General features: G+C 50.9%; 2 protein-coding genes across 38 annotated transcripts in view, besides 2 other annotated features; both read left to right on the top strand.

Moving 5' to 3' along the window:
• The window catches only part of KANK2 (KN motif and ankyrin repeat domains 2), a 33596-nt gene extending 28786 nt beyond the window's left edge, over positions 1 to 4810 (top strand). For all 28 annotated transcript variants that reach the window (XM_047438576.1, NM_001379552.1, NM_001379553.1 and 25 more), the window contains one exon: positions 2469 to 4810. In XM_047438576.1, coding sequence (XP_047294532.1) covers positions 2469 to 2522 — 54 coding nt within the window. In that variant the 3' untranslated portion in view covers positions 2523 to 4810. The remainder of the gene's footprint in view (positions 1 to 2468) is intronic.
• Positions 2334 to 2834: an enhancer, noted in NCBI's record as "H3K4me1 hESC enhancer chr19:11276922-11277422 (GRCh37/hg19 assembly coordinates)". NCBI's record gives its function as "activates a minimal SCP1, AML or CMV promoter by ChIP-STARR-seq in naive H9 embryonic stem cells {active_cell/tissue: H9 hESC(naive)}" and the evidence as "EXISTENCE:reporter gene assay evidence [ECO:0000049][PMID:30033119]".
• Positions 13182 to 13341: a silencer, noted in NCBI's record as "silent region_10101". NCBI's record gives its function as "represses an Ori minimal core promoter by ATAC-STARR-seq in GM12878 lymphoblastoid cells {active_cell/tissue: GM12878}" and the evidence as "EXISTENCE:reporter gene assay evidence [ECO:0000049][PMID:35858748]".
• On the top strand, positions 13298 to 23587 carry SPC24 (SPC24 component of NDC80 kinetochore complex). 10 transcript variants are annotated; one of them, NR_172094.1, is made up of 5 exons: positions 13298 to 13463; positions 19729 to 19986; positions 20963 to 21067; positions 21186 to 21262; positions 21791 to 23587. NR_172094.1 is itself a non-coding variant. In XM_005259753.4 (5 exons), the coding sequence occupies exons 1-5, from the start codon at positions 13304 to 13306 to the stop codon at positions 21895 to 21897; spliced, it is 456 nt and encodes a 151-aa protein (XP_005259810.1). In that variant the 5' UTR covers positions 13298 to 13303; the 3' UTR covers positions 21898 to 23587. The 10 variants fall into 10 exon arrangements, 9 of the variants coding, with proteins under 9 accessions (XP_005259810.1, NP_001381244.1, NP_001303960.1 ...); XM_005259753.4 differs by having other exon boundaries at positions 19842 to 19894; positions 21009 to 21067; NM_001394315.1 differs by having other exon boundaries at positions 19842 to 19986; positions 21186 to 21210; positions 22801 to 23587.

Raw genomic sequence — 24977 nt, 5'->3', positions numbered from 1 at the left:
AGGCGTGAGCCACTGCACCCGGACATTTTTTAACATCTTTTGTAGAGACTGGGTCTCACTATGTTGCCCAGGCTGGTCTTGAATACCTGAGCTTAAGCCATGCTTCCTCTTCTGCCTCTGAAAGCGCTGGGATTACAGGGGTCAGCCACTGTGCCTGGCCAGAGGAGACGGATGTTTATGAAGAGCTGATTGTGCATGGGGTTCACGCTAAGGATAAAGTCAGAATATGGTCAGCTGCTTGCTGAACCTTCATAGTGCCCCAGTGAGGAAATTAGTCACAGAGAGGCTGCATGGTCATGGTTGGCATAACAGTATTCACGCCTGGGTCTGTCTGGTTCCAAATGCGTGTCTTAGTCACCATTCACTCATTTGAAAAATATTTATTGAGCGCCTGCTGCATGTTAGGCCCAGTTCTAGGTAGTCCCCAGTGGTCACAGCACTGATCAAAACAGAAAACAGTATCCACCCTTATGGAGTGAGCATTCTGGTAAGAGACACAATCAGGCTGGGCGCGGTGGCTCACGTCTGTAATCCCAGCACCTTGTGGGGCCGAGATGGAAGGATTGCTTGAACCCAAGAGTTCGAGACCAGCCTGGGCAACATAGGGAGATCCTGTCTCCCCCAAAAATACAGGTGCATGCCTGTACTCCCAGCTACTCGGGAGGCTGAGGCAGGAGGATCACCTGAACCCAGGAATTTGAGGCTGCAGTGAGCCATGGTTGCATCACTACATGGTGACAGAGTGCCGCCTTGTCTGGGAAAAAAAAAAAGAAAGAGGCCAGGCGTGGTGGCTCATGCCTGTAATCCCAGCACTTTGGGAGGCCAAGGTGGGCGGATGATTTGAGATAAGGGGTTCAAGACCAGGCTGGCCAACATGGTGAAACTCCATCTGTACTAAAAAAACAAAATATTAGCCGGGTGTGGTGGCGCATGCCTTTAATCTCAGCTATTCTGGAGGCTTAGGCGGGAGAATCACTTGAACCCAGGAGGTGGAGGTTGCAGTGAGCCAGAGATCATGACATTGGGCAACAAGAGCAAAACTCTGTCTCAAAGAAAAAAAAAAAAAAAAAAAAACAAGGACGTGGGATGGCGAGTGATGGGGAAGCTATTGGAGTCCCTCAGAGAAGAGATGACATTTGAGTCAACACCTGGAGAAGTTAGGGAGTGAATCACATGGTCTTCCGGGCAGCAGGAACAAGCAGTGCAAAGGCCCTGAGGCAGGGGTGTGTCTGACGTGTTTAAGGAGCATTCAGGCCAGACTCACTGGTTCACGCCTGTAATCCCAGCACTTTGGGATGCCATGGCGGGCAGATCACCTGAGGTCAGGAGTTCGAGACCAGCCTGGCCAACATGGTGAAGCCCTGTCTCTACTAAAAATACAAAAATTAGCTGGGTGTGGTGGTGGGCACCTGTAATCCCAGATACTCGGGAGGCTGAGGCATGAGAATTGCTTGAACCTGGGAGGCAGAGGTTGCAGTGAGCTGAGATCGCGCCACTGCACTCCAGCCTGGGTGACAGAGTGAGATTCCGCCTCAAAAAAAAAAAAAAATTAGCTGGGCCTGGTGGTGCATGCCTATAGTCCCAGCTACTCGGGAGGCTAAGGCAGGAGGATTGCTTGAGCCCAGATAGTCAAGGCTACTGTGAGCTATGATTGGACCACTATACTCCAGCCTGGCAACAGAGCAAGACCCTGTCTTTAAGCAAAAAAAAATCTAGGCCGGGCACGGTGGCTCACGCCTGTAATCTCAACACTTTGGGAGGCCAAGATGGGCGGATCACCTGAGGTCAGGAGTTTGAGACCAGACTGACCAACATGGAGAAACCCCATCTCTACTAAAAACGCAAAATTAGCCGGGCGTGGTGGCGCCTGCCTGTAATCCCAGCTACTAAGGAGGCTGAGGCAGGAGAATCACTTGAACCCAGGAGGCAGAGGTTGCAGTGAGCTGAGATCATGCCATTGCACTCCAGCCTAGGCAACAAGAGTGAAACTCTGTCTCAAAAAAAAGAAAAGAAAAAGCCAGGGTCCTCTCCAAAGCCCACCAGGCCCTGCACAACCACCCTCACCTTCCCCACTACTGTTTCTCTCCCCCTCTAGCCACACTGGCCTTATTGCCACACCCCTCTGCACTTATCCCAGGGCCTTTGCACGTGCTGTTTCCGCTGCCTGGAATGCTCTTCCCTGCTCGCTGGCTCCTTGATGCCGTTCACAGTCAGCTGAGAACTCACCCTCCCTGACCAGCCACTGTCCACCCTCATTCCTTTGCATCCCTCACCCCCGGTGAACATCCTCAACCACAGTCATGAGTTTGCTTCTTCAAGGCGGTGCCCCCAGATCGCCACCTCCTTGGGGCCAGGGGCCACGCCTCCCTCCTGCTTACCCATCATATCTACCAGGCCAGCCACCACGTTGGCGCCTCGGGGGATTGGAAAGGATCCCAAACAAAAAGAATTCTGCTTCTCTGTTTCAGTTTGCCCCAATGTCAGATGACGAGAGCCCTACATCATCCTCGGCAGAAGAGTAGCCGTGAGGGAGGCGGGGACCAGCCAGACCGGGAGCAAACCGTCCCTTGTCCCCGTCTCCTCCCTGTTCCCGTTCCTCCCTGGCCCACCCCACTCACACTCCCCAAGGCCCACGGCTCAAAGGCAAGCGAGCTCTCCCTCTGCTTCCCTGGGGGAGCCCCGACGGCCACAGGACTCCAGCTCCAAGTGGGTTTTCTTGGCTCCCCTGTTCAAAGTGGCCACAGCGCAGACCGAAGCAAAATTCTTGTATACATTGGCGCCAGGGCTGATGCTGGGGTGTGGGTTTTATGAAGAACATTGAGAACAATCAGCTGGTAATTATGGATGGAGGAAGAGGGAGAGGAAAAAAATATTGTATTTTTGAATCATTGTTGCAGGAGGGGGTGGGAATCTTAGGATTTGTTGCCAGATTTGAAAGTCACTGGAACTTGCATATTTTCATTTTAATCCTAAGTGTTATTACGCACCAGTTGGGGTTCACCCTTCATCCCCCACATTTAATTGTCTGATATAGAATAGTGTTGTGTCCACTGCCCCGCTAGACGGCTTTCTTAGGGGAATTTTCTTCTGGTTGTTTCACAAGACAGATTCTGTCCTTGTCACCCGGGACAGAAAACTCAGTCTTTTCACCCTCATTCAGATGAAGGGACTCAGGACAGGCTCTGTGACTTACAGGGACCCAATCAATTCACAATGAGAAATTACCGGCCAGGCGTGGTGACTCACGTCTGTAATCCCAGCACTTTGGGAGGGCAAGGCAAGAGCTTGAGCTTGAGCCTAGACGTTAAAGACCAGCCTGGGCAACACAGCAAGACCCATCTCTACAAGAAATTTAAAAACTAGCCAGGCGTGGTGGTGCGCGCCTGTAGTCCCAGCTACTTGGGAGGCTGAGCCCTGGAGGTCGAGGCTACAGTGAGCTATGATCACACCATTGCACTTCAGCCTGGGCGACACAGCGAGACCCTGTCTCAAGAAAGAAAAGAAAAAGAGACAAATTACCCAGAAACCCCTCCCTTCCCCACATGGAGGCCTTGGCAAATGTTAATTTTCCTAGAAAATCCTTCAGACCTGAAGACGCAGGAAAAGAATCTGGCTCTCAGGGTGGCTTCTGCGTCCCCGCCGCCAGGCCCCAGACTATGGTCACAGGGCCGTCCTGTTCCTCCCCGGGACTCCAGAATTTCTCTCCTCAAAGGAAAGAAAACAGGGCATGCGCTTGTTGGCAAAACGCAGGGCCGGCTCCCAAAAACCCCATGTGTGTACGATTAAAAGTTGGCCGTCCCCAGGCCTCCCAGCGCAAACTTCAAGAGACAGGGCTTTGCTGAAAACCAAACATGGGCCAGCTGGGCTTTTTAACAACCTAGAGACTTTCCGGAGCTGCCTGGAACAGAGCCTGCGGGAAACGGGGCTTGCCAGAGACACTCACAGTTTCCTTCATGGCCTGTTTTGGTCCCCTAAGAATCTCCACATCATTGTCTTTCTTGTGCCTTTTCCTTGGTGAGCAACAGAAAGGGAAGGGTTCCAAGCCTCTAAAAATGTGCTTTGTGATCAGGAGTGCGCTCCAAACCAAATACGCGCGCTGCCCTTTCGAGGCCAGTGAGCTCAGCCTCCAAGGCTTTAAAGCCACATTTCAGCAAGAGAAAGCGCTGAGAGCTCGCAGGTTCATTAAAGAAGGCAAAGCACTGGTTTCTCTCCTTAGAAAAGTAGGTTTCTTGGCTTGATGTAGACTGGCTTGCTTTGATTTTTAGTGAAGGGAATGTACGTAAAACAAAATAGGGCTTGGCTGGTCAAAGGAGACAAGCAGGATGGATGGATGGATGGATGGATGGATGGATGGATGGATGGATGGATGAATAGATAGATGGTGTTTGCATGTAAATTGCAGAGAAAACAAAACCAAAGCTGATTGGAAACAATTAATTGTGGGTGTCTGAGGGGGAAGGTCGCAGCTTTGGGCAGCTTTGAGAAGCGGTACAAGAGTTCTGTGCCTGTGTGTCCAGCCCTGGAGCCAGCCAGTGCATTTATTTTAAGCTCTTAGAAGCAACTCCTTGGCCCAGGAATGCGTGACCCCTGAGATGGGTCCACGCATCTCTCTACACTTCCTTCTCTCCGTGGGATACTGGACTCGTGCCTCTGCGCCCATTCTCTTCTCACGCATATCCATGAGCTTTAATTTCACTTTCTGATCACGGTACGTCCATAAAGCCAGTATTACACTTAAATGAAGTATTCTTTTTTGTAATCGTTTTTTTTAGAAGGTAAACAAATTTAATAAAGCTACCAATAATGTTGATGATTCTGTGTCTTTTCTTTTTTCGCTGTGCTCCCTTTTAAGCTTTAAGATAGATATCTTTCCTTTTTTTTTTCTTTTTTCTTTTTTTGAGACGGAGTTTTGCTTCTCGTCACCCAGGCTGGAGTGCAGTGGCGCGATCTTGGCTCAGTGCAACCTCTGCCTCCTGGATTCAAGTGATTCTACTGCCTCGATTCTCCCAAGTAGCTGGGACTACAGGTGCCCACCACACTCGGCTAATTTTGTATTTTTGGTAGAGACGGGGGTTTCGCTATGTTGGTCAGGCTGGTCTCAAACTCCTGACCTCAGATGATCCACGCGCCTCAGCCTCCCAAAGTGCTGGGATTACAGGTGTGAGCCACCACTTTTTGTTTTTGGAGAGTCTCACTCTGTCTCCCAGGTTGGAGTGCAGTGGTGCGAATCATAGCTCACTGCAGTCTCTACCTCCAGGGTTCAAGCGATCCTCCCACCTCAACCTCCCGACTAGCTGGGACCACAGGCTGCGCCACCACCCCTGACTTTTTGTTGTTGTTGTTGTTGTTGATACGGAGTCTCCCTCTGTCTCCCAGGCTGGAGTGCAGTGGTGTGATTTAGGCTCACCGAAACCTCCGCCTCCTGGACTTAGGCAATTCTCCTGCCTCGGCCTCCCAAATAGCTTGGATTAGAGGCACCCACCACCACACCCAGCTAATTTTTGTATTTTTAGTAGAGATGGGTTTTCACTATGTTGGTCAGGCCAGTCTTGAACTCCCGACCTTGATCAAGTGATCCACCCGCCTCGACCTCCCAAAGTGCTGGGATTACAGGCGTGAGCCACTGCGCCTGGACTAATTTTTAAATTTTTTGTAGAAACGGGGTTTTGCTATGTTGCCCAAGCCACTCTCCCACCTCGGCCTCCCAAAGTGCTGGGATTACACACGTGAGCTGCTGCAAATCTCTTTTTCAAAATGGACTTATTTTGGAGAGTGTTCAAAGCTACAGAACAGTTGCAAGAATATCACAGTAAACACCTTCATGCTCTGTCCTAGACCAGCACCCAACAATAGTGTAGCCGCTAGCTACATGTGGCTATTTTCATTTAAAAGTACATGAGGCCGGGCGCGGTGGCTCGCGCCCGTAATCCCAGCACTTTGGGAGGCTGAGGCAGGTGGATCACCTGAGGTCAGGAATTCAAGACCAGCCTGGGCAACATCGTGAAACCCTGTCTCTACTAAAAATACAAAAAATTAGCTGGGCATGGTAGCGGGCATCTGTAGTCCCAGCTACTCGGGAGGCTGAGGCCAGAGAATCACTTGAACCCAGGAGGCGGGGGTTTCAGGGAGCTGAGATTGCCCCACTGCACTCCAGCCTGGGTGACAGAGCAAGACTCCATCTATAAATGAATGAATGAATTAATTAATTATAATTAGCAGGCTTGGTGGCTTGTGCCTGTAGTCCCAAGCTACTCAGGAGGCTGAGGCGGGTGGGAGGATCACTCGAGGCCAGGAGTTCGAGGCTGCAGTGAGCTATGATTGTCCCACTGCACTCCAGCCTTGGTGACAGAGTGAGACCTTGTTTCTAAAAAAAAAAAAAAAAATCTTAAGTAAATGAATTATGCCTGGCGCGGTGGCTCACGCCTATAATCCCAACACTTTGAGAGGCTGAGGCAGGTGGATCATTTATGTTTGAGGCCAGCCTGGCCAACATGGTGAAACCACATCTCTACTAAAAATAGAAAAAAATTAGCTGGGCATGGTGGTGCATGCCTGTAATCCCAGCTACTGGGGAGGCTGAGGCATGAGAATCACTTGAACATGGAAAACGGAGGTTGCGGTGAGCTAAGATTGCAGCACCGTACCCCAGCCTGGGCGACAGTGAGGCTCCAACTCAAAAATAAGTAAATAAATAAAGTCAATGAATTATAATTAGTTCTCGATAGCTTTACGTGGTTGGTGGCTACTGTATTGACTTGCAGAGATACTGAATATTGCCATCGTACAAAGTTTTGTTGAACACCTGCTGTGAACACCTCAGGAAAAAAAAATCAATCTTTTTCTTTCTTTTCTTTTCTTTTTTTTTTTTGAGACAGGGTCTCACTCTGTTGCCCACCAGGGTAGAGTGCAGTGGTGCGATCATAGCTCACTGCAGCCTCAACCTCCGGGGCTCAAGCAATCTTCCCACTTCAGCCTCCAGAGTGGCTGGGACTACAAGTGTGTGCCACCATGCCTGGCTAATTTTTTTTATTTTTTGTATAGACGGAGTCTCTCTATGCTGCCCAGGCTGGCCTCAAACTTCTGGGCTCAAGCGATCTCCCCACCTCAGCCTCCCAATGTGCTGGGATCGTAGGCATGAACTACTATGCCTGGCCTAAAACTTGGCTCTTCGGTGACTTTTGTATTCTAATGCCAAATAATTTATAGCGATTTATTATAAAAGTCAAAATTCAGCCGGGCACAGTGGCTAACCCCTGTAATCCCAGGACTTTGGGAGGTCAAGGTGGGCATCACCTGAGGTCAGAAGTTTGAGACCAGCCTGATCAATACGGTGAAACCCTGCCTCTACTAAAAATACAAAAATTAGCCAGGTGCATTTGCACACGCCTGTAATCCCAGCTACTCAGGAGGCTGAGGCATGAGAATCGCTTGAACCTGGGAGGCACAGGTTGCAGTGAGCCGAGATTGTGCCACTGTGCTCCAGCCTGGGCAACAGGGAGACTCCGTCTCAAAAAAAAAAGTTAAAATTCGAGCCGGGTGCAGTGGTTCACGCCTGTAATCCCAGCACTTTGGGAGGCCAAGGCGGGTGGATCACCTGAGGTCGGGAGTTCGAGACTAGCCTGACCAACATGGCGAAACCCTGTCTCTGGCCGGGCGTGGTGGCTCACGCCTGTAATCCCAGCACTTTGGGAGGTCAAGGCGGGTGGATCACGAGGTCAAGAGATCGAGACCATCCTGGCCAACATGGTGAAACCCCATCTCTACTAATAAATACAAAAAATTAGCTGGGTGTGGTGGCGTGTGTCTGTAGTCCCAGCTACTCGGGAGGCTGAGGCAGAAGAATGGCGTGAACCCGGGAGGCAGAGTTTGCAGTGAGCCAAGATCGCACCACTGCACTCCAGCCTGGGTGACAGAGTGAGACTCCGTCTCAAAAAACAAAAAAAAGGCCAGGAGTGGTGGCTCACGCCTGTAATCCTAGCGCTTTGGGAGGCCAAGGCGGGCACATCACGAGGTCAGGAGCTCGAGATCATCCTGACTAGCACGGTGAAACCCCATCTCTACTTAAAAAAATACAAAAAATTAGCCAGGCGTGGTGGTGGGCACCTGTAGTCCCAGCTACTGGGAGGCTGAGGCAGGAAAATGACGTGAACCCGGGAGGCGGAGCTTGCGGTGAGCCGAGATCGCACCACTGCACTCCAGCCTGAGCGACAGAGTGAGACTCCATCTCAAAAAGAAAAAAATAAACCTTGTCTTTACTAAAAATACAAAATTAGCCGGGTGTGCTGGCACACCCCTGTAATCCCAGCTACTCAGGAGGCTGAGGCAGGAGAATTGCTTGAACCTGGAAGGTGGAGGTTGTGGTGAGCCGAGATCACGCCATTGCACTCCAGCCTAGGCAACAAGAGAGAAACTCCATCTAAAAATAAAAATAAAAATTCAAACAATACAGCAGTGTTTAGTCCTTGCAGCATGCCATAATCCCACTTGGTAGGAATACCATTGTCAACAGTTTGGAGCATCTCCTACCAAATCTTTTTCTAATATATTTGGTCTTAATTTTTTTTTACAGTTCTTTTTTCTTCAGGTATAAAATGAATACATTCTGTGCACAAATGGTGCACAAAAGTGTACAGTTCCTTCCATGGCTTTTTTGCAAACGGCACCCCCAAGTTGCCGGCACCAGAACTGGAAAAGGAATATCATTGGCCCTAGCAGCCCACGGGCCCCTCCCCTCAGATCTCCCAGCGGTAATCATATCTCCTGACTTCTCATTTCCTCTGTTTATCCACTAGGCTGTTCAGTCAGGAGATAACAGAAGGTTTTTGGAAGACCCAGAAATGTTATGCTAAGGAGTGTATTTCTAGGCAGAAGGTCCATTACTCGTGTCAGTTTCCTCTGGCTTTGTGAGCCAAGAAGGGTTCTTAGGAAATAAACTTTCTCACAAAGCCATTGCCAGGACCATTTGTCATTATCTTTACTTCTCTTGTTCAGCTCACCTTTAAGACCTATTCCCGCCATCACACAGTTTCTTGCTTTGCTTTTTTTTTTTAGTATATTTTTAATTTTAATTGTGGTAAAATATACATGACATAAAATGTACGACTTTAACCATTTTAAAGTGCAGAGTTCAACGGCATTAAGCACATTCCCACTGTTGTGCAACCAGCACTACCATCCATCTCCAGAACATTCTCAGTTTGCAAAACTGAAACTCTGTCCCCATGAAACACTCACTCCCCATACCCCTCCCCAGCCCCCGGGACCCACCATTCTACGTTCTGTTTTTATGAATCTGACGACTCTAGGGACCTCCTCTAAGTGGAATCACGCAGTGTTTGTCTTTTTGTATCTGGCTTATTTCACTGAACATGTCTTCATCCACCTCGTGGCATGTGTCAGAATTTCCTTTCTTTTTTTGCGGGGTGGGGATGGAGTTTTGCTCCTTGTCGCCCAGGCTGGAGTGCAGTGGCGCCATCTCATCTCACTGCAACCTCCGCCTCCCGGGTTCAAGTGATTCTCCTGCCTCAGCCTCCCATGTAGCAGGGATTACAGGTGTGCACCATCATGCCTGGCTAATTTTTGTATTTTTAGTAGAGACGGGGTTTTGCCATGTTGGCCAGGCTGTTCTTGAACTCCTGACCTCAGGCGATCTGCCTGCCTCAGCCTACCAGAGTGCTGGGATTACAGGCGTGAGCCACTGGACCTGGTCAGCATTTCCTTCCTTTTTTTTTTTTGAGACAGAGTATCACTCTGTCACCAGGCTGGAGTGCAGCGGTGCGATCTCGACTCATTGCACCTTCCACCTCCCAGGTTCAAGCGATTCTCCTGCCTCAGCCTCCCAAGTAGCTGGGACTACAGGCACGTGCCACCAGGCCCAGCTAATTTTTGTATTTTTAGTAGAGACGGGGTTTCACCATGTTGGCCGGGATGGTCTCAATCTCTTGACCTCGTGATCCGCCCGCCTTGGCCTCCCAAAGTGCCAGGATTACAGGCGTGAGCCACCGCACCTGGCCTCCTTCCTTTTTAAGGCTGAATAATCTTCTGTCCTATGGGCCAGACATGGTAGACACGGTGACTCATACCTGTAATGCCAGCATTTTGGGAGGCTGAGGCAAGAGGATCATTTGAGCCCAGGAGTTGGAGACCAGCCTAGGCAATACAATGAGACCCCTGTCTCTAGGAAAAAAAAAATAATTAGCTGGGTGTAGTGGCATGTGCCTGTAGTCCCAGCTACTTGGGAGGCTAAAGTTGGAGGATTGCTTGAGCCCAGGAGGTTGAGTGAGCCATGATTGCGTCTCTGCACTCCAGCCTGGCAGAGAGATCCTGTCTCATAAAAAAAAAAAGGAAAAAGAAAAAAAAATTGTGTCCGGGCATGGTGGCTCAAAAAAAAAAAAATTGCGTTGTACAGATGAACCAAAAAAAAACAATTGTGTTGTAGAGATGAACCACGTTTTATTAATTCTTCTATCTAAGGACACTTGTGCTGTTTCCACCCTTTCGCTATAATGGGTGCTATGAACATAGACTTGCAAATATCTGCTCTATGACTTGCTTTCTTTCTCTTTCTTTCTTTCTTTTTTTTTTCTTTTTTTTTTTTGAGACGGAGTTTCCCTTTTGTTGCCCAGGCTGGAGTGCAATGGCGTGATCTCAGCTCACCGCAACCTCCGCCTCCCATGTTCAAGCGATTCTCCTGCCTCAGCCTCCCTAGTAGCTGGGATTACAGGCATGCGCCACCACGCCTGGCTAATTTTGTATTTTTAGTAGAGACGGGGTTTGTCCATGTTGGTCAGGCTGGTCTCGAACTCCCGACCTCAGGTGATCCGCCCGCCCCGGCCTCCCAAAGTGCTGGGATTACAGGCATGAGCCACTGCGCCCGGCCCAACAACCTGCTTTCAATTCTTTTGGGGCTATACCCAGAAGTGGAATTGCTGATATGGTAATACTATTTTTAATTTTTTGAGGAACTGCCATACTGTTTCCCGCAGCAGCTGCACCATTTTACATTCTCAGCAAGGGTACACAGCATTCCAATTTCTCTACATCTTGGTCAACACTTGTTATTTTCCAGGTTGCTTGGCTGGTTGGTTGGTTTTGGACAGTAGCCATCCTAATGGCTGGGAAGCGGTTCTCGCTTTGCTTTTTTGGAAGGGAGGTGGGCGGGTGGCATTTTTCCACAGGAGCCTTTAGATCTATCAGGCTCGAGTTGCACAATCTTGCCTGGCTTATCTCTGGGACACCTCCTGGCAGCTAATAAGAAAGGGCTATCTTTAGCCACTATGGCTTAGAAAGGTTAGGAACCTGCCAAGGTCACAGGTAAGCTGCAGCATCAGAAAGTGAACCTGAAGTCTTTTCCCCTCTTGATTTCACTCTGCCTAATTGTTATTCACTGCCTTTAGGCACAAAGAAGTGAGGTCTATGCCAACATTACACAGCTGGTTCAAGAAGCCATGCTCTCAGGCACCAAAGGGTGACACACACCTGTAGTCCCGGCTACTTGGAAGGTTGAAATGAAAGGATCACCTGAGCCACTGCACTTCAGCCTGGGGGACAGAACAAGACCCCATCTCAAAAAAAAAAAAAAAAAAGAAGGAAGAAAAGAAGGCCGGGCACAGTGGCTTACGCCTGTAATCCCAGCACTTTGGGAGGCCGAGGCAGGTGGATCACCTGAGGTCGGGAGTTCAAGACCAGCCTGACCAACATGGAGAAACCCCGTCTCTACTAAAAATACAAAATTAGCTGGGCATGGTGACGCATGCCTGTAATCCCAGCTACTCGGGAGGCTGAGGCAGGAGAATCACTTGAACCTGGGAGGTGGTGGTTGCAGTGAGCTGAGATCGCGCCATTGCACTCCAGCCTGGGCAACAACAGCGAAACTCTGTCTCAAGAAAAAAAAAAAAGAAAAGAAAAGAAAAGAAAAAAAAATCATAGGAAAGCAATGAGATGTTCTTTAGGTGGTAGCACACATAAAAATGTTGCCACGCCAGGCGCGGTGGCTCACGCCTATAATCCCAGCACTTTGGGAGCCTGAGGCAGGCAGATCACGAGGTCAGGAGTTCAAGACCAACCTGGCCAACATAATGAAACCCCGTTTCTACTAAAAATACAAAAAATCAGCTGGGTGCGGTGGCGGGCACCTGTAATCCCAGCTACTCGGGAGGCTGATGCAGGAGAATGCCTTGAACCCAGGAAGCAGGCTGGAATGCCTTGCACTCCAGCCTGGGCAACAGAGTGAGACTCTGTCTTAAAAAAAAAGAGAGAGAAAGAAAAAAAGATGCCATCTTAACATCTTGTTTCTTGCAGAAATACCAGTGTCTAGCATGGAACCAGCACCTTAGAGTCAGCACTGATCTTTTCTTTGTTTTGTTTTGTTTTGAGACAGGCTAGTCTCAAACTCCAGGGCTCAAGCGATCCTCCTGTCTTAGCCTTCCAAAGAGCTCAGACTTACAGGCGTGAGCCACTGCACCCAGCTACATGCTAGGATTCTATGTATGTTTCATTAAACAACTATATAGCACCTACTGAATAGGAGACACTATCACGCCAGGCTGGGCTCGGTGGCTCACGCCTGTAATCCCAGCACTTTGGGAGGCGGAGGCAGGAGGATTGCTGGAGGCCAGGAGGTCGAAGTTGCAATGAGCTATGATTGTGGCACTGCACTTCAGCCTGGGTGACAGAGCAATACCTTGTCTCTAAAAAAAAAGTAATAAGAAGAATTCTCACGCCAACGCTGACACAGGCACTAGTATGACCCTCATTTTACTAAGGAGGAAAGTACCGCACAGAGAGGTGAAGTCTGTCCAGGGTAACACAGCTAGTAAGTGGCAACGCTGGGATTCGAACCCAGTAAATCTGGCTGCAGACGCCATTTTGCTATGCAGCCTCTCATAGAATCTACTTATTCTCTATGCTTATTGTGTATCCCACGCACACACTGTAGGATGTAAGTTCCAGGAGAAGCTGCTCGCTGCTTTGCCGTTAGAACCCCACCCTGCACAGAGCAAGCGCTCGACCTATGGAGAAATAAACAGCCGCTTTCTCTCCCGCGCAGGCGCATCGGGAAGGATAACGGAGCCTCCCCCTTCCTGCGCCGATTGGTCATCACCGATGACTGACGGAGGAGTGGTCGCAGGCGCACCAGGCCAGACCAAAGGCGGCTTAGCCCAGTCTAAGATCCTGTTCCCCATGCCTATTGGCCATTGCTTATGACTGACGTATCAAAAAATCCAATGGAAAGCAACCTCTTCTGGAAGAGGGCGGGCCCCGCGGACAGTCAAATTTGCGCGGGTTGGAGCCTGGCGTAGTCATGGCCGCCTTCCGCGACATAGAGGAGGTGAGCCAGGGGCTGCTCAGCCTGCTGGGCGCCAACCGCGCGGAGGCGCAGCAGCGACGGCTGCTGGGGCGCCACGAGCAGGTGGTGGAGCGGCTGCTGGAAACGCAAGACGGTGCCGAGAAGCAGCTGCGAGGTGAGGGTCGGAGCGTGGTCGCGGGCCCACGGGGGAAGGGGCCCGGGTGCTGGGAGGGGGCGACCAGGCCCACCTCAAAACCCCTTCTCTCCTGGACTCTCCCATCTCCTGCCCTATGCCCCCTGGGACGGCCCCCTCTGAGCCTTAGTTTCACCATCTGAGAAATCGGCTTTATGACAGCAACCATCCCCCACCCCCCAGGGGTTTAGTGGTAAATATAGGAGTCTGGAGGGGTTGGCCCCTTCTGAGCTCTCCGTGAGCAGGAGCTGGGGGTCTCAGGGTTTGAACTGGGGCTCAGGAGTCAAAGCTCCGGGTTTGAATCCTAGCACCCATCCCCATGTCCGCTGTGAGACTTGAGGTGAGTTTCTTAAATTCTCTGTGCCTCAGCTTCCTTCCTTGTCAAATGGTTGTGACAATAGCCCATCCCTTCTTCCTGAAGGCATTCAGATGTTTTATGGAGCATCTGCTGCTGCCAGGCCCTGGGCTCACCGCAACCTCCACCTCCCGGGTTCAAGCTATTCTCCTGCCTCAGCCTCCTGAGTAGCTGGGATTACAGGCGCTTGCCACCGCACTCGGCTAATTTTTGTATTTTTGGTAGAGACGGGGGGTCACCACGTTGGCCAGGCTGGTCTCAAACTCCTGACCTCAGGTAATCTGCCTGCCTCAGCCTCCCAAAGTACTGGGACTGCAGACGTGAGCCACTGTGTCCGGCCCATCTTCACTATCTGTAACTGCACAGTTCAGTGGCCTTAAGCACATTCACACTGCTGTGCAACCATCAGCACCATCATCCATCTCCAGAACTTTCTCATCTTTCCAAACTGAAGCTCTGTCCCCATGAAACACTCACTCCCCATCCCCTTCTCAGACCCTGGCACCCACCAGGGTTCTACTTTCTGTCTCAAATTTGACTCCTCTAGGAACCTTACGAGGAATTGTACAATATCTACCCTTCCTAGTGGAATCATACAATATCTACCCTTTTGTGTCTGGCTTATTTCATGGAGCATAATGTCCTCCAGGTTCATCCATGTCATAGCCTGTATCAGAATTTCCTTTCATTTTGTGTACTTACTGTGAGACAGAGCCTCGCTCCATTACCCTGGCTTGAATGCAGTGGTGTGATCTTGGCTCACTGCAACCTCTGCCTCCCAGACTTAAGTGATCCTCCCACCTCAGCCTCCCAAGTAGCTGAGAACACACTTATGCGCCACCATGCCCAGCTAATGTTTGTATTTTTAGTAGAGATGGGGTTTCACCATGTTGGCTAGGCTGGTCTTAAACTCCCAGCCTCAAGTGATCGCCCACCTCGGCCTCCCAAAGTGCTGGGATGACAGGGGTGAGCCACTACGCCTGGCCAGAATTTCCGTCCATTTTAAAGCTGAGTCATATTTCATGATATAGAAGGATGGACCGCATTGTGTTTATTCATTCATCCATCCATGGGCACTTGGGTTGTATCCACCTTTTGGCTGTGTTGAATAACGCTGCTATGAACACGGGTGCCCAAATATCTCTTCAAGACTGTATTTTTTTTTTCCTTGAGACGGAGTCTTGCTCTGTCACCCAGGCTGGAGTGCAGTGGCGCAATCTTGGCTCACTGCAAGCTGCGTCTCCTGGGTTCACGCCATTCTCCTGCCTCAGCCTCCCGAGTAGCTGGGACTACAGGTGCCCGCCACCACGCCCGGCTAATATTTTTATATATATTTTTTTAGTAGAGACGGGGTTTCACCGTGTTAGCCAGGATGGTCTCGATCTCCTGACCTCATGATCCACACGTCTCGGACTCCCAAAGTGCTGGGATTACAGGCATGAGCCACCGTGCCCAGCCATATTTTCTTCTTTTTTTTTTTTTTCCCAGGACAGTCTTACTCCGCTGCTCAGGCTGGAGTACAGCAGCGTGATCTCTGCTCACTGCGACCTATGCCTCCTGGGTTCAAGCAATTCTCCTGCCTCAGCCTGCCAAGTAGCTGGGATTACAGGCACGTGCCAACATGCCCAGCTAATTTTTGTATTCTTAGTAAAGATGGGGTTTCACCATGTTGGCCAGGCTGGTCTCAAACTCTTGACCTCGTGATCCGCCCGCCTCGGTCTCCCAAAGTGCTGGGAATATAGGCATGAGCCACTGCGCCCAGCCCAAGACTCTATTTTCTTTTTTTTATTTTTTTGATATGGAGTCTCGCTCTGTCACCCAGGCTGGAGTGCAGTGGCGTGATCTTGGCTCACTGCGAGCTCCGTCTCCCGGGTTCACACCATTCTGCCTCAGCCTCCCGAGTAGCTGGGACTACAGGCACCCGCCACCACGCCCGGCTAATTTTTTTTTTGTATTTTTTTTGGTAGAGACAGAGTTTCACCGTGTTAGCCAGGATGGTCTCGATCTCCTGACCTCGTGATCCACCTGCCCCGACCTCCCAAAGTGCTGGGATTACAGGCGTGAGCCACCACGCCCAGCCAAGACTCTATTTTCAGTTCTTTTTTGTATTCAGCCAGAAGCAGATCAAATGGTAATTCAAAGTTTGATTTCTGAGGAACCGCCATACGGTTCTCCCTGACAGCTGCAGTGCCAGGGGTTTCAGGTGCCTTATACAGTCACATTTTATGAGGAGGCCTGGGCTGAGCCTTGATTGGCCTATGGAGCCAGTCCACGGGGTGGCTCAGGAACGGTGTTCCTGGCAGCGTGGATTGCAAATGCAAAGGTCAGGAGGTGAGAATGAACTTGGCAAGCAGAAGATGAGCTCAGCAGCCGCCTGACTGCCAGGCCTGGAGAGTGCCCAGGAGGAGTCTGAATATTATCCTGAATGTGATGTCCCAAGCAGGCTCTTCCCTCCTTCCCTCCTCCTTCTTCCACCCCTCCATTAACTCCCCCTCCTTTGATGGCTTGAGGAGAAAGATGTGACTCGGCCAGCCTGGCTGTTAGCAGAATGGATGAATCTGGGGCCAAGAAAACTGAGAATCAGGATCCAGGGATCCTAGGCTTTGGGTCAAACAGATCCAGTTCACATCCTAGGTTTGGAGCTATGTACCTGTGGGCGAGTCACTGAACTTCTGTCTCTGGACCTGTTTTTCATGTCACAGATGTGGGGCAGAGGAGTTAAAGTACACCCTCAGGCTGGGTGTGGTGGCTCACGCCTCTCATCTCAACATTTTGGGAGGCCGAGGTGGGTGAATCACTTGAGGACAGGAGTTAAAGACCAGCCTGGTCAACATGGTGAAACCTGGTCTCTACTAAAATTACAAAAATTAGCTGGCCGTTGTGGCGCATGCCTGTAATCCCAGCTACTCGGGAGGCTGAGACAGGAGAATTGCTTGAACCTGGGAGGTGGCGGCTGCAGTGAGCTGAGGTCACACCACTGTATTCCAGCCTGGATGACAAAGCAAGACTGTCTCAAAAAAATAGGCCAAGCACAGTGGCTCATGCCTGTAATCCCAACACTTTGGGAGGCTGAGGCAAGCAGATCACCTGAGGTCAGGAGTTCAAGACCAGCCTGGCCAACATGGTGAAACCCCATCTCTACTAAAAATAAGAAAATTAGCCAGGCATGGTGGTGCATGCCTGTAATCCCAGCTACTCGGGAGTCTGAGGCAGGAGAATAGCTTGAACCTGGGAAGCAGAGGTTGCAGTGAGCTGAGATCATGCCACTGCACTCCAGCCTGGGCAACAGAGCAAGACTGTCTCAAAAATAATAATAAAAGTTTAAAAAAAAAAAAAGGCCTGGTGCGGTGGCTCACACCTGTAATCCCAGCACTGTGGGAGGCCAAGGTGGGCGGATCACAAGGTCAGGAATTCTAGACCAGCCTGGCCAACATGGTGAAACACCGTCTCCGGTAAAAATATAAAAATTAGCCAGGCGTGGTGGTGGGTGCCTGTAATCCCAGCTACTCAGGAGGCTGAGGCAGGAGAATCACTTGAACCTGGGAGGCGGAGGTTGCAGTGAGCTGAGACCGTGCCATTGCACTCCAGCCTGGATGACAGGGCAAGACTCCATCCCCCCCCCCCAAAAAAAAAGTATCCCCTCAGCTGTGTGAGAATATGTCAGGTAGGAGCACCTTATAATGAACAGCCATGGGGTAGAGATTACTACTCAGGGAAGAATTCAAGAAGACTTGGTTGTCCTTCGGGAGGGCGGACAGACAGCGGGTGGGAAGGCTGTGTGAGCCAGCCAGAGCCTCAGCTGTCCTAACAGGAAATCAGCAGGCCCCATCCGAACCAGACCGATCAAGAAATAGCAGCATAAGCAAGTTAACTTAGAAATGTGGAGGCCAGTGCCAGAGAAAACAGCTAAAACTTGAAAGTGGCTGCTTCAGAGGGACGGAGAGGCTTGGAGAAGGGTGTGTGCGTGTGTGTTCATGTTTGCAGAACCATATACATGTCATACTCTGATTAAAAATAATGTAAGTTTCTAAAACTTAAACATGGGCCCTTTGGGAAGCATTTTTTTTTTTTTTTTTTTTTTGAGACGGAGTCTGGCTCTGTCGCCCAGGCTGGAGTGCAGTGGCGTGATCTTGGCTCACTGCAAGCTCCGCCTCCCAGGTTCACACCATTCTCCTGCTTCAGCCTCCCAAGTAGCTGGGACTACAGGCGCCCTCCGCCACGCCCAGCTAATTTTTTGTATCTTTAGTAGAGACGGGGTTTCACCATGTTAGCCAGGATGGTCTCGATCTACTGACCTCGTGATCCACCTGCCTCGGCCTCCCAAAGTGCTGGGATTACAGGCATGAGCCACCGCGCCTGGCCTGGGCATTTAATCTGCATTCTCTGAGTTGGCAGGTTTCTAGGAAGGAACAGTAGCCATCTTTGTTTTATTTTGGTTTGCTTTGGGTTTTTGAGAAAGGGTCTCTCTCTGTCACCCAGGCTGGAGTGCAGTGGCACAGTGACAGCGATTATGGCTCACTGCAGCCTCAACCTCCCTGGTTCAGGTGATCCTCCCAAGTAGGTGGGACTACAGGTGCACACCACAATGCCCAGCTAATTTTTTGTGTTTTTAGTAGAGATGGGGTTTTGCCACATAGCCCAGGGTGGTCTCAAACTCCTGTCCAAGTGATCCTTCTGCCTTGGCCTCTCAAAGTGCTGGGATTCCAGGCATGAGCCACTGTGCCCAGCCACCAGTAGCCTTTTTTCTTTTTTTTTTTTAAGATGGAGTCTTGCTCTATCGCCCAGACTGGAGTGCAATGGCGCGATGTCGGCTCACCGCAACCTCCGCCTCCCAGGTTCAAGTGATTGTCCCGCCTTGGCCTCCCAAGTAGCTGGGATTACAGGCATGCACCACCACGCCCAGCTAATTTTGTATTTTTAGTAGAGATGGGGTTTCTCCATGTTGGTCAGGCTGGTCTCGAACTCCTGACCTCAGGTGATCTGCCTGGGCCTCCCAAAGCGCTGGGATTACAGGTATGAGCCACCACACCTAGCCTTTTTTTTTTTTTTTTTTTTTTTGAGATGGAGTTTCCTCAGCCCCCTAGGCTGGAGTGCAGTGGCACGATCTCGGCTCACTGCAGCCTCCACCTCCTGGGTTCAAGTGATTCTCCTGTCTCAGCCTCCCAAGTAGCTAGGATTACAGGCGCCTGCCACCACACCTGGCTAATTTTTTGTGTTTTTAATATTGACAGGGTTGCCGTGCGCAGTGGCTCACGCCTGTAATCCCAGCACTTTGGGAAGCTGAGGCGGGTGGATCACGAGGTCAGCAGTTTGAGACCAGCCTGACCAACATGGTGAAACCCCGTCCCTACTAAAAATACAAAAAATTAGCTGGGTGTCGTGGCAGGCGCATGTAATCCCAGTGACTTGGGAGGCTGAGGCAGGAGAATCACTTGAAACTGGAAGGCGGAGGTTGCAGTGAGCCAAGACTGCGCCACTGCACTCTAGCCTGGGCAATAAGAGCAAAACTCCGTCTCAAAAAAAAAAAAAAAGACAGGGTTTTACCATGTTGACCAGGCTGGTCTCAAACTCCTGACCTTAGGTGATCTGCCCACTTCGGCCTCCGAAAGTTCTGGGATTACAGGTGTGAACCACCATGCCCAGCCTAATTTTTTTTAGTTTTGTAGAGATGGGATCTCCCTATGTTGCCCAGGCTTGAACTCTTGGCCTCAAGCGATCCTCCCGCCTCAGGCTCCCAAAGTGCTGGGATTACAGGCATGAGCCACCATGCCTGGCCAACTATTTTGTTATATTTTAGGTGTGTGAAGGACGAGGCTTTATTTTTAGTGTATTTAAATGTGTTTTGGTGAAACAGTAGTTGTACAAGTTGCCAGTAGAACTCTCTGGACACAGGGCTGCAGACAAGGGGCATGTTTCTTGCCAGTGGAGGCAAGTGGAACCACCTTCTCTCTGCTCTCCTTGGGGAAGGACAGACCCTAGGGAGCCTGCTTCTCTCCACCCTGCAGAGATCCTCACCATGGAGAAGGAAGTGGCCCAGAGCCTTCTCAATGCGAAGGAGCAGGTGCACCAGGGAGGCGTGGAGCTGCAGCAGCTGGAAGCTGGGCTTCAGGAGGCTGGGGAGGAGGACACCCGTCTGAAGGCCAGCCTCCTATATCCTTTTCTGCTAGGGGATCAGCCTTGCTAGAAAACACGCATAGGGCCAGGCGCAGTGGCTCAAGCCTGTAATCCCAGCACTTTGGGAAGCCCAGGTGGGAGGATCACTTGAGCCCAGGAGTTGGAGACCAGCCTGGACAACAGAGACCCCGTCTCTACAAAAATAAAAAAATTAGGTCAGGTGCAGTGGCTCACGCCTGTAATCCTAGCACTTTGGGAGGCCGAGGCAGGTGGATCACGAGGTCAGGAGATCGAGACCATCCTGGCTAACACAGTGAAACCCCGTCTCTACTAAAAATACAAAAAAAAATTAGCCGGGCGTGGTCCCAGCAGGAGAATGGCGTGAGCCCAGGAGGCGGAGCTTGCAGTGAGCTGAGATCATGCCACTGCACTCCAGCCTGGGCAACAGAACAAGACTCTGTCTCAATCAATCAATCAATCAATAAGCTGGGCATGGTGGTACACACCTGTAGTCTCAGCTACTTGGGAGGCCGAGGTGGGAGGATTACTTGGTCCTGGGAGATTGAGGCTACACTCCAGAATAGGTGAAAGAGCAAGACCCTGTCTCAAAAAAAAAAGAAAAGACCAGGCGCGGTGGCTCACACCTGTAATCCCAGCACTTTGGGAGGCCGAAGCAGACAGATCAGTTGAGGTCAGGAGTTTGAGACCAGCCTGGCCAATATGGTGAAACCCTGTCTCTACTAAAAATACAAAAATTAGCAGGGCATGGTGGTGTGTGCTTGTAATCCCAGCTACTCGGTAGGCAGGGGCTCCAGAATCACTTCAGCCTGGGAGGCAGAGGTTGCAGTGAGCTGAGGTCGTGCCACTGCACTCCAGCCTGGGTGACAAAGCAAAACTCTGACTCAAAGAAGAGAGTGTGCGTAAATAGAGCCAAGACCCTGGGCCTCCCAGCTGCAGTTAGCGCAGGGGCAGCCCTCTCTCGAAAGCCGGGGTCCTTAACGACCTGCCCTACTCAGCTCACCAGAGAGCTGGAAGAGCTCAAGGAGATTGAGGCGGATCTGGAGCGACAGGAGAAGGAGGTCGACGAGGACACGACAGTCACAATCCCCTCGGCCGTGTAGGTTCTGCCAAAACGTGTGCCTGCCTGTGCCTCCTTGTGCAGTCCGGCTCTTGGTTGAAGTTGGTGCTGGGTAACTTTCTTTTTTTTTTTTTTTTTTTTTTGTCTTCCTGTACAGGTACGTGGCTCAACTTTACCACCAAGTTAGTAAAATTGAGTGGGATTATGAGTGTGAGCCAGGGATGGTCAAAGGCAGTATCCTTTTTGGGGAGCCATTTTAACCCTTGTGCACTGTAGGTAGGGACATAAAATGGTGCATAGCAGGACCCTGTAAAAATTAGCCGGGTGTGGTGGCGTGCATCTGTTGTCCCAGCTACCTGGGAGGCTGAGGTGGGAGGATCACTTGAGGCCAGGAGTTTGAGACCAGCCTGGGTATCAGTGAGACCCCACGTCTATAATAAATATAGTAAAGTATAGCAGGCCAAGTGTGGTACCTCACGCCTGTAATCCCAGCACTTTGGGAGGCCGAGGTGGGCAGAAGACCTGAGGCCAGGCGTGGTGGCATATGCCTGTAGTCCCAGCTACTCAGGAGGCTGAGGCATGAGAATCACTTAACCACTGGAGGTGGAGGTTGCAATGAGCCGAGATCGCACCACTGTACTCCAGCCTGGCCTACAGAATGAAACTTTGTCTCAAAAAAAAAAAGTAAAGGCAGTATCCTTTTCCCCGTGGGGTTGTGTGAGGGGCTGTGTGTCCCGGGCTTTCCTTACATCTGTGCCTCAGTCCATCATGGCCCCAGTGTGGCCCAGCCCATCCACCTGGACAGCACCCAGCTCTCCAGGAAATTCATCAGCGACTACCTCTGGAGTCTGGTGGACACCGAGTGGTAGCCAGGAGCCTCGTGGCTGCGTCTTGCACCCAGCGGGCATCTGCCGTGGTCAGATCCATTTCAAATGAAATGTGGGGACATAGATCTTTTTTTTTTTTTTTTTGAGACAGAGTTTCACTCTTGTTGTCCAGTCTGGAGTGCAATGGCACAATCTCAGCTCACAGCAACCTCTGCCTCCTGGGTTCAAGCGATTCTCCTGCCTCAGCCTCCAAAGTAGCTGGGATTACAGGCATGCGCCACCACACCCAGCTAATTTTTTGTATTTGGTAGAGATGGAGTTTCACCATGGTGGTCAGGCTGGTCTTGAACTCCTGACCTCAGGTGATCCACCCGCCCGCCTTGGCCTCCCAAAGTGCTAGGATTCCAGGCGTGAGCCATCGTGCCCAGCTAGACGTCTTCCTTTTTTTTTTTTTTTTGAGACGGAGTCTCACTCTGTCGCCCAGGCTGGAGTGCAGTGGTGCGATCTCAGCTCACTGCAAGCTCCGCCTCCTCCCGGGTTCACGCCATTCTCCTGCCTCAGCCTCCTGAGTAGCTGGGACTACAGGCACCTGCCACCATGCGCAGCTAATTTTTTGTATTTTTAGTAGAGACGGGGTTTCACCATGTTAGACAGGATGGTCTCCATCTCCTGAGTTTGTGATCTGCCCGCCTTGGCCTCCCAAAGTGCTGGGATTACAGGTGTGAGTCACCGCGCCTGGCCTTTTTTTTTTTTTTTTTTACTGGATTTCTTTTTCTCCTGATTTTCGGCCTCAGCTCCTAGAGTGGCCTCAGCTAGGTAACCAACGGGAGTCGACTTATCTATGCCAGGCCTGCAGTTTCACATCTGTGACGGGATGGGACAAATGACACCGTGGTATTCGATGACAGCTCCCAGGTACTTCAAGGTTGGCCCTTACTCATTCAGGGGGTATGTTTGAGTGCCACGGTGTGCCCAGACTCTGCTAGGCACCAGAGAGACAAGATACGAGTGACATGGTTCTCCTCCCACTGCTGACGGAGGAATTAACACAAAAGCAGACAACACTCTAGAACTGGAGAGAGGTCCAGATTGCGACAGGAGCCACACCAGAGTGTGCAGGCTTCATGGAGGACAGAAGCGACTTTTGTGCCGGGACTTAAAAAGATAAGGAGGCCAGGTGTGGTGGCTCATGCCTGCAATCCCAGCACTGTAGAAGGCAGAGGCCGGCAGATCACTTGAGCCCAGGAGTTGGAGACCAGACTGGGGAACATGGCAAGACCCCATCTCTACAAAAAAATTAAAAAATTTGGCCTGGTGTGGTGGCTCATGCCTGTGATCCTAGCACTTTGGGAGTTAAAATACAACACTTCCCAGCTGCCCTTATAGTTAAGGTCTGGCCAGTGAAATGTATGTGGAAATGTTACATGACACTTCTAGAAGGATTCTTAAAAGACAAATACACCCTTTCTTCCCCCTTCCTATTTCCTGGAATGTGGGTGTGATGGCTGGAGCCCTGGCAGCCATACTGCCACGTGTACAGACGAGTGCCGTCCTTTAGGGATGACAGGAGCCTGGTTCCCTGATGATGGCAGAGCCAGATATCAGCACAAACTTATTTAAATGGGAGAGAGAAGGGGAGAACCAATCTCAACTTCTACCTTGTGTAAGCTGCTGGTTTTGGGGGTTTTCTATGACAGATACCAAAATAAACCCTAACTGAACATGTACTCCAGTCCAGGGCCGGCCAATCAATGTGTTCATCACTCTCCCATCCTCGGTGTTTTGGGTACCGCTAAGGAAAGGAGGCGTGCACACCACCTGCCTGCCTGAGGGAGGAGAGAGGGAGGTTGGGTCCCACTGACAGTTGTCCCCAGATACAGCTTTGCCCTTGAATGTGTTAGTTCCGTGAACTTGGGCTTGGGTTTCATCATGTCCCTTTCCACGACTGAACTTAAGTGCAGTTCTTAATCAGAGAGGGGCGTTTTTAGGCAGAGGGAACAGTAAGCTTTAACAGCGTCTGGTGGTGCTTGCCTGTAGTCCCAGCTACTCGGGCGGCTGAGGCAGGAGGATCACTTGAGCCTGGGAGGTTGAGGCTACAGTGAGCCATGGTAGTGTCACTGCACTCCAGCCTGGGTGACAGAATGAGACCCTGTCTTAGAAAGGGGCCAGCTGTTGTGGCTCATGCCTGTAATCCCAGCACTTTGGGAGGCCTAGGCGGGCAAATCACTTGAGTCTAGGAATTTGAGACCAGCCTGGGCAACATTGCGAAACCCCACCTCTACTAAGAAAAAAATAAATTAGCCGGGCATGGTGGTGCCTGCCTGTATCCCCCGCTACTTCGGGGCCTGAAGTGGGAGGATCGCTTGAGCCCAGGAAGTTGCCGTGGTGAGCTACGACTGCGCCACATCACTCCAGCCTAGGGGACGAAGTGAGACCCTGTGTCAACAACAAAAAAAAAGGGGGCCGGGCGCGGTGGCTCATGCCTGTAATCCCAACACTTAGGGAGGCCGAGGTGGGCGGATCACAAGGTCTGGAGATCGAGACCAGGCTAACACGGTGAAACCCCATCTCTACTAAAAATACAAAAAGTTAGCCGGGCATGATGGTGGGCACCTGTAGTCCCAGCTACTCAGGAGGCTGAGTGAGGCAGGAGAATGGCGTGAACGCAGGCGGCAGAGTTCGCAGTGAGCCGAGATCGAGCCACTGCACTCCAGCCTGGGCGACAGAGCGAGACTGTCTCAAAAAAAAAAAAAAAAAAAAAAAAGAAGAGACCAGGCATGGTGGCTCATGTCTGTAGTACCAGCAACATTGGGAGGCCAAGGCAGGTGGGTCACCTGACATCAGGAGTTCAAGACCAGTCTGGCCAACATGGTGAAACCCCATCTCTACTAAAAATACAAGTTAGCCAGGCATGGTGGCGGGCACCTGTAATCCCAGCTACTCTGGAGGCTGTGGCAGGAGACTTACTTGAACCCAGGAGGTGGAGGTTGCAGTGAGCCGAGATCGTGCCATTCCACTCCAGCTTGGACAAGAGTGAAACTCCGTCTCAGAAACAAAATTTTTTTAAAGGGATTTTTGAGTCTAGCCCTGAAATGTCAGGAGTCAGTCCATGCAGCTTGCAG

This window comes from Homo sapiens, chromosome 19 (genome assembly GCF_000001405.40).
Source record: "Homo sapiens chromosome 19, GRCh38.p14 Primary Assembly".
Lineage (NCBI taxonomy): Eukaryota > Metazoa > Chordata > Mammalia > Primates > Hominidae > Homo > Homo sapiens.
Note: the sequence above shows the minus strand (reverse complement) of the source record. Positions and strands in the feature narration are given on the sequence as shown.

What these genes read in the sequence shown, in the direction of transcription:
- SPC24 (NM_182513.4), top strand. Translation starts at nt 13,304, where the DNA reads ATGGCCGCCTTCCGCGACATAGAGGAGGTGAGCCAGGGGCTGCTCAGC. An exon ending in TGCCGAGAAGCAGCTGCGAG is followed by an intron (nt 13,464 to 19,841) that starts GTGAGGGTCGGA and finishes TCCACCCTGCAG; the next exon opens with AGATCCTCACCATGGAGAAG. An exon ending in GTCACAATCCCCTCGGCCGT is followed by an intron (nt 21,068 to 21,185) that starts GTAGGTTCTGCC and finishes CTTCCTGTACAG; the next exon opens with GTACGTGGCTCAACTTTACC.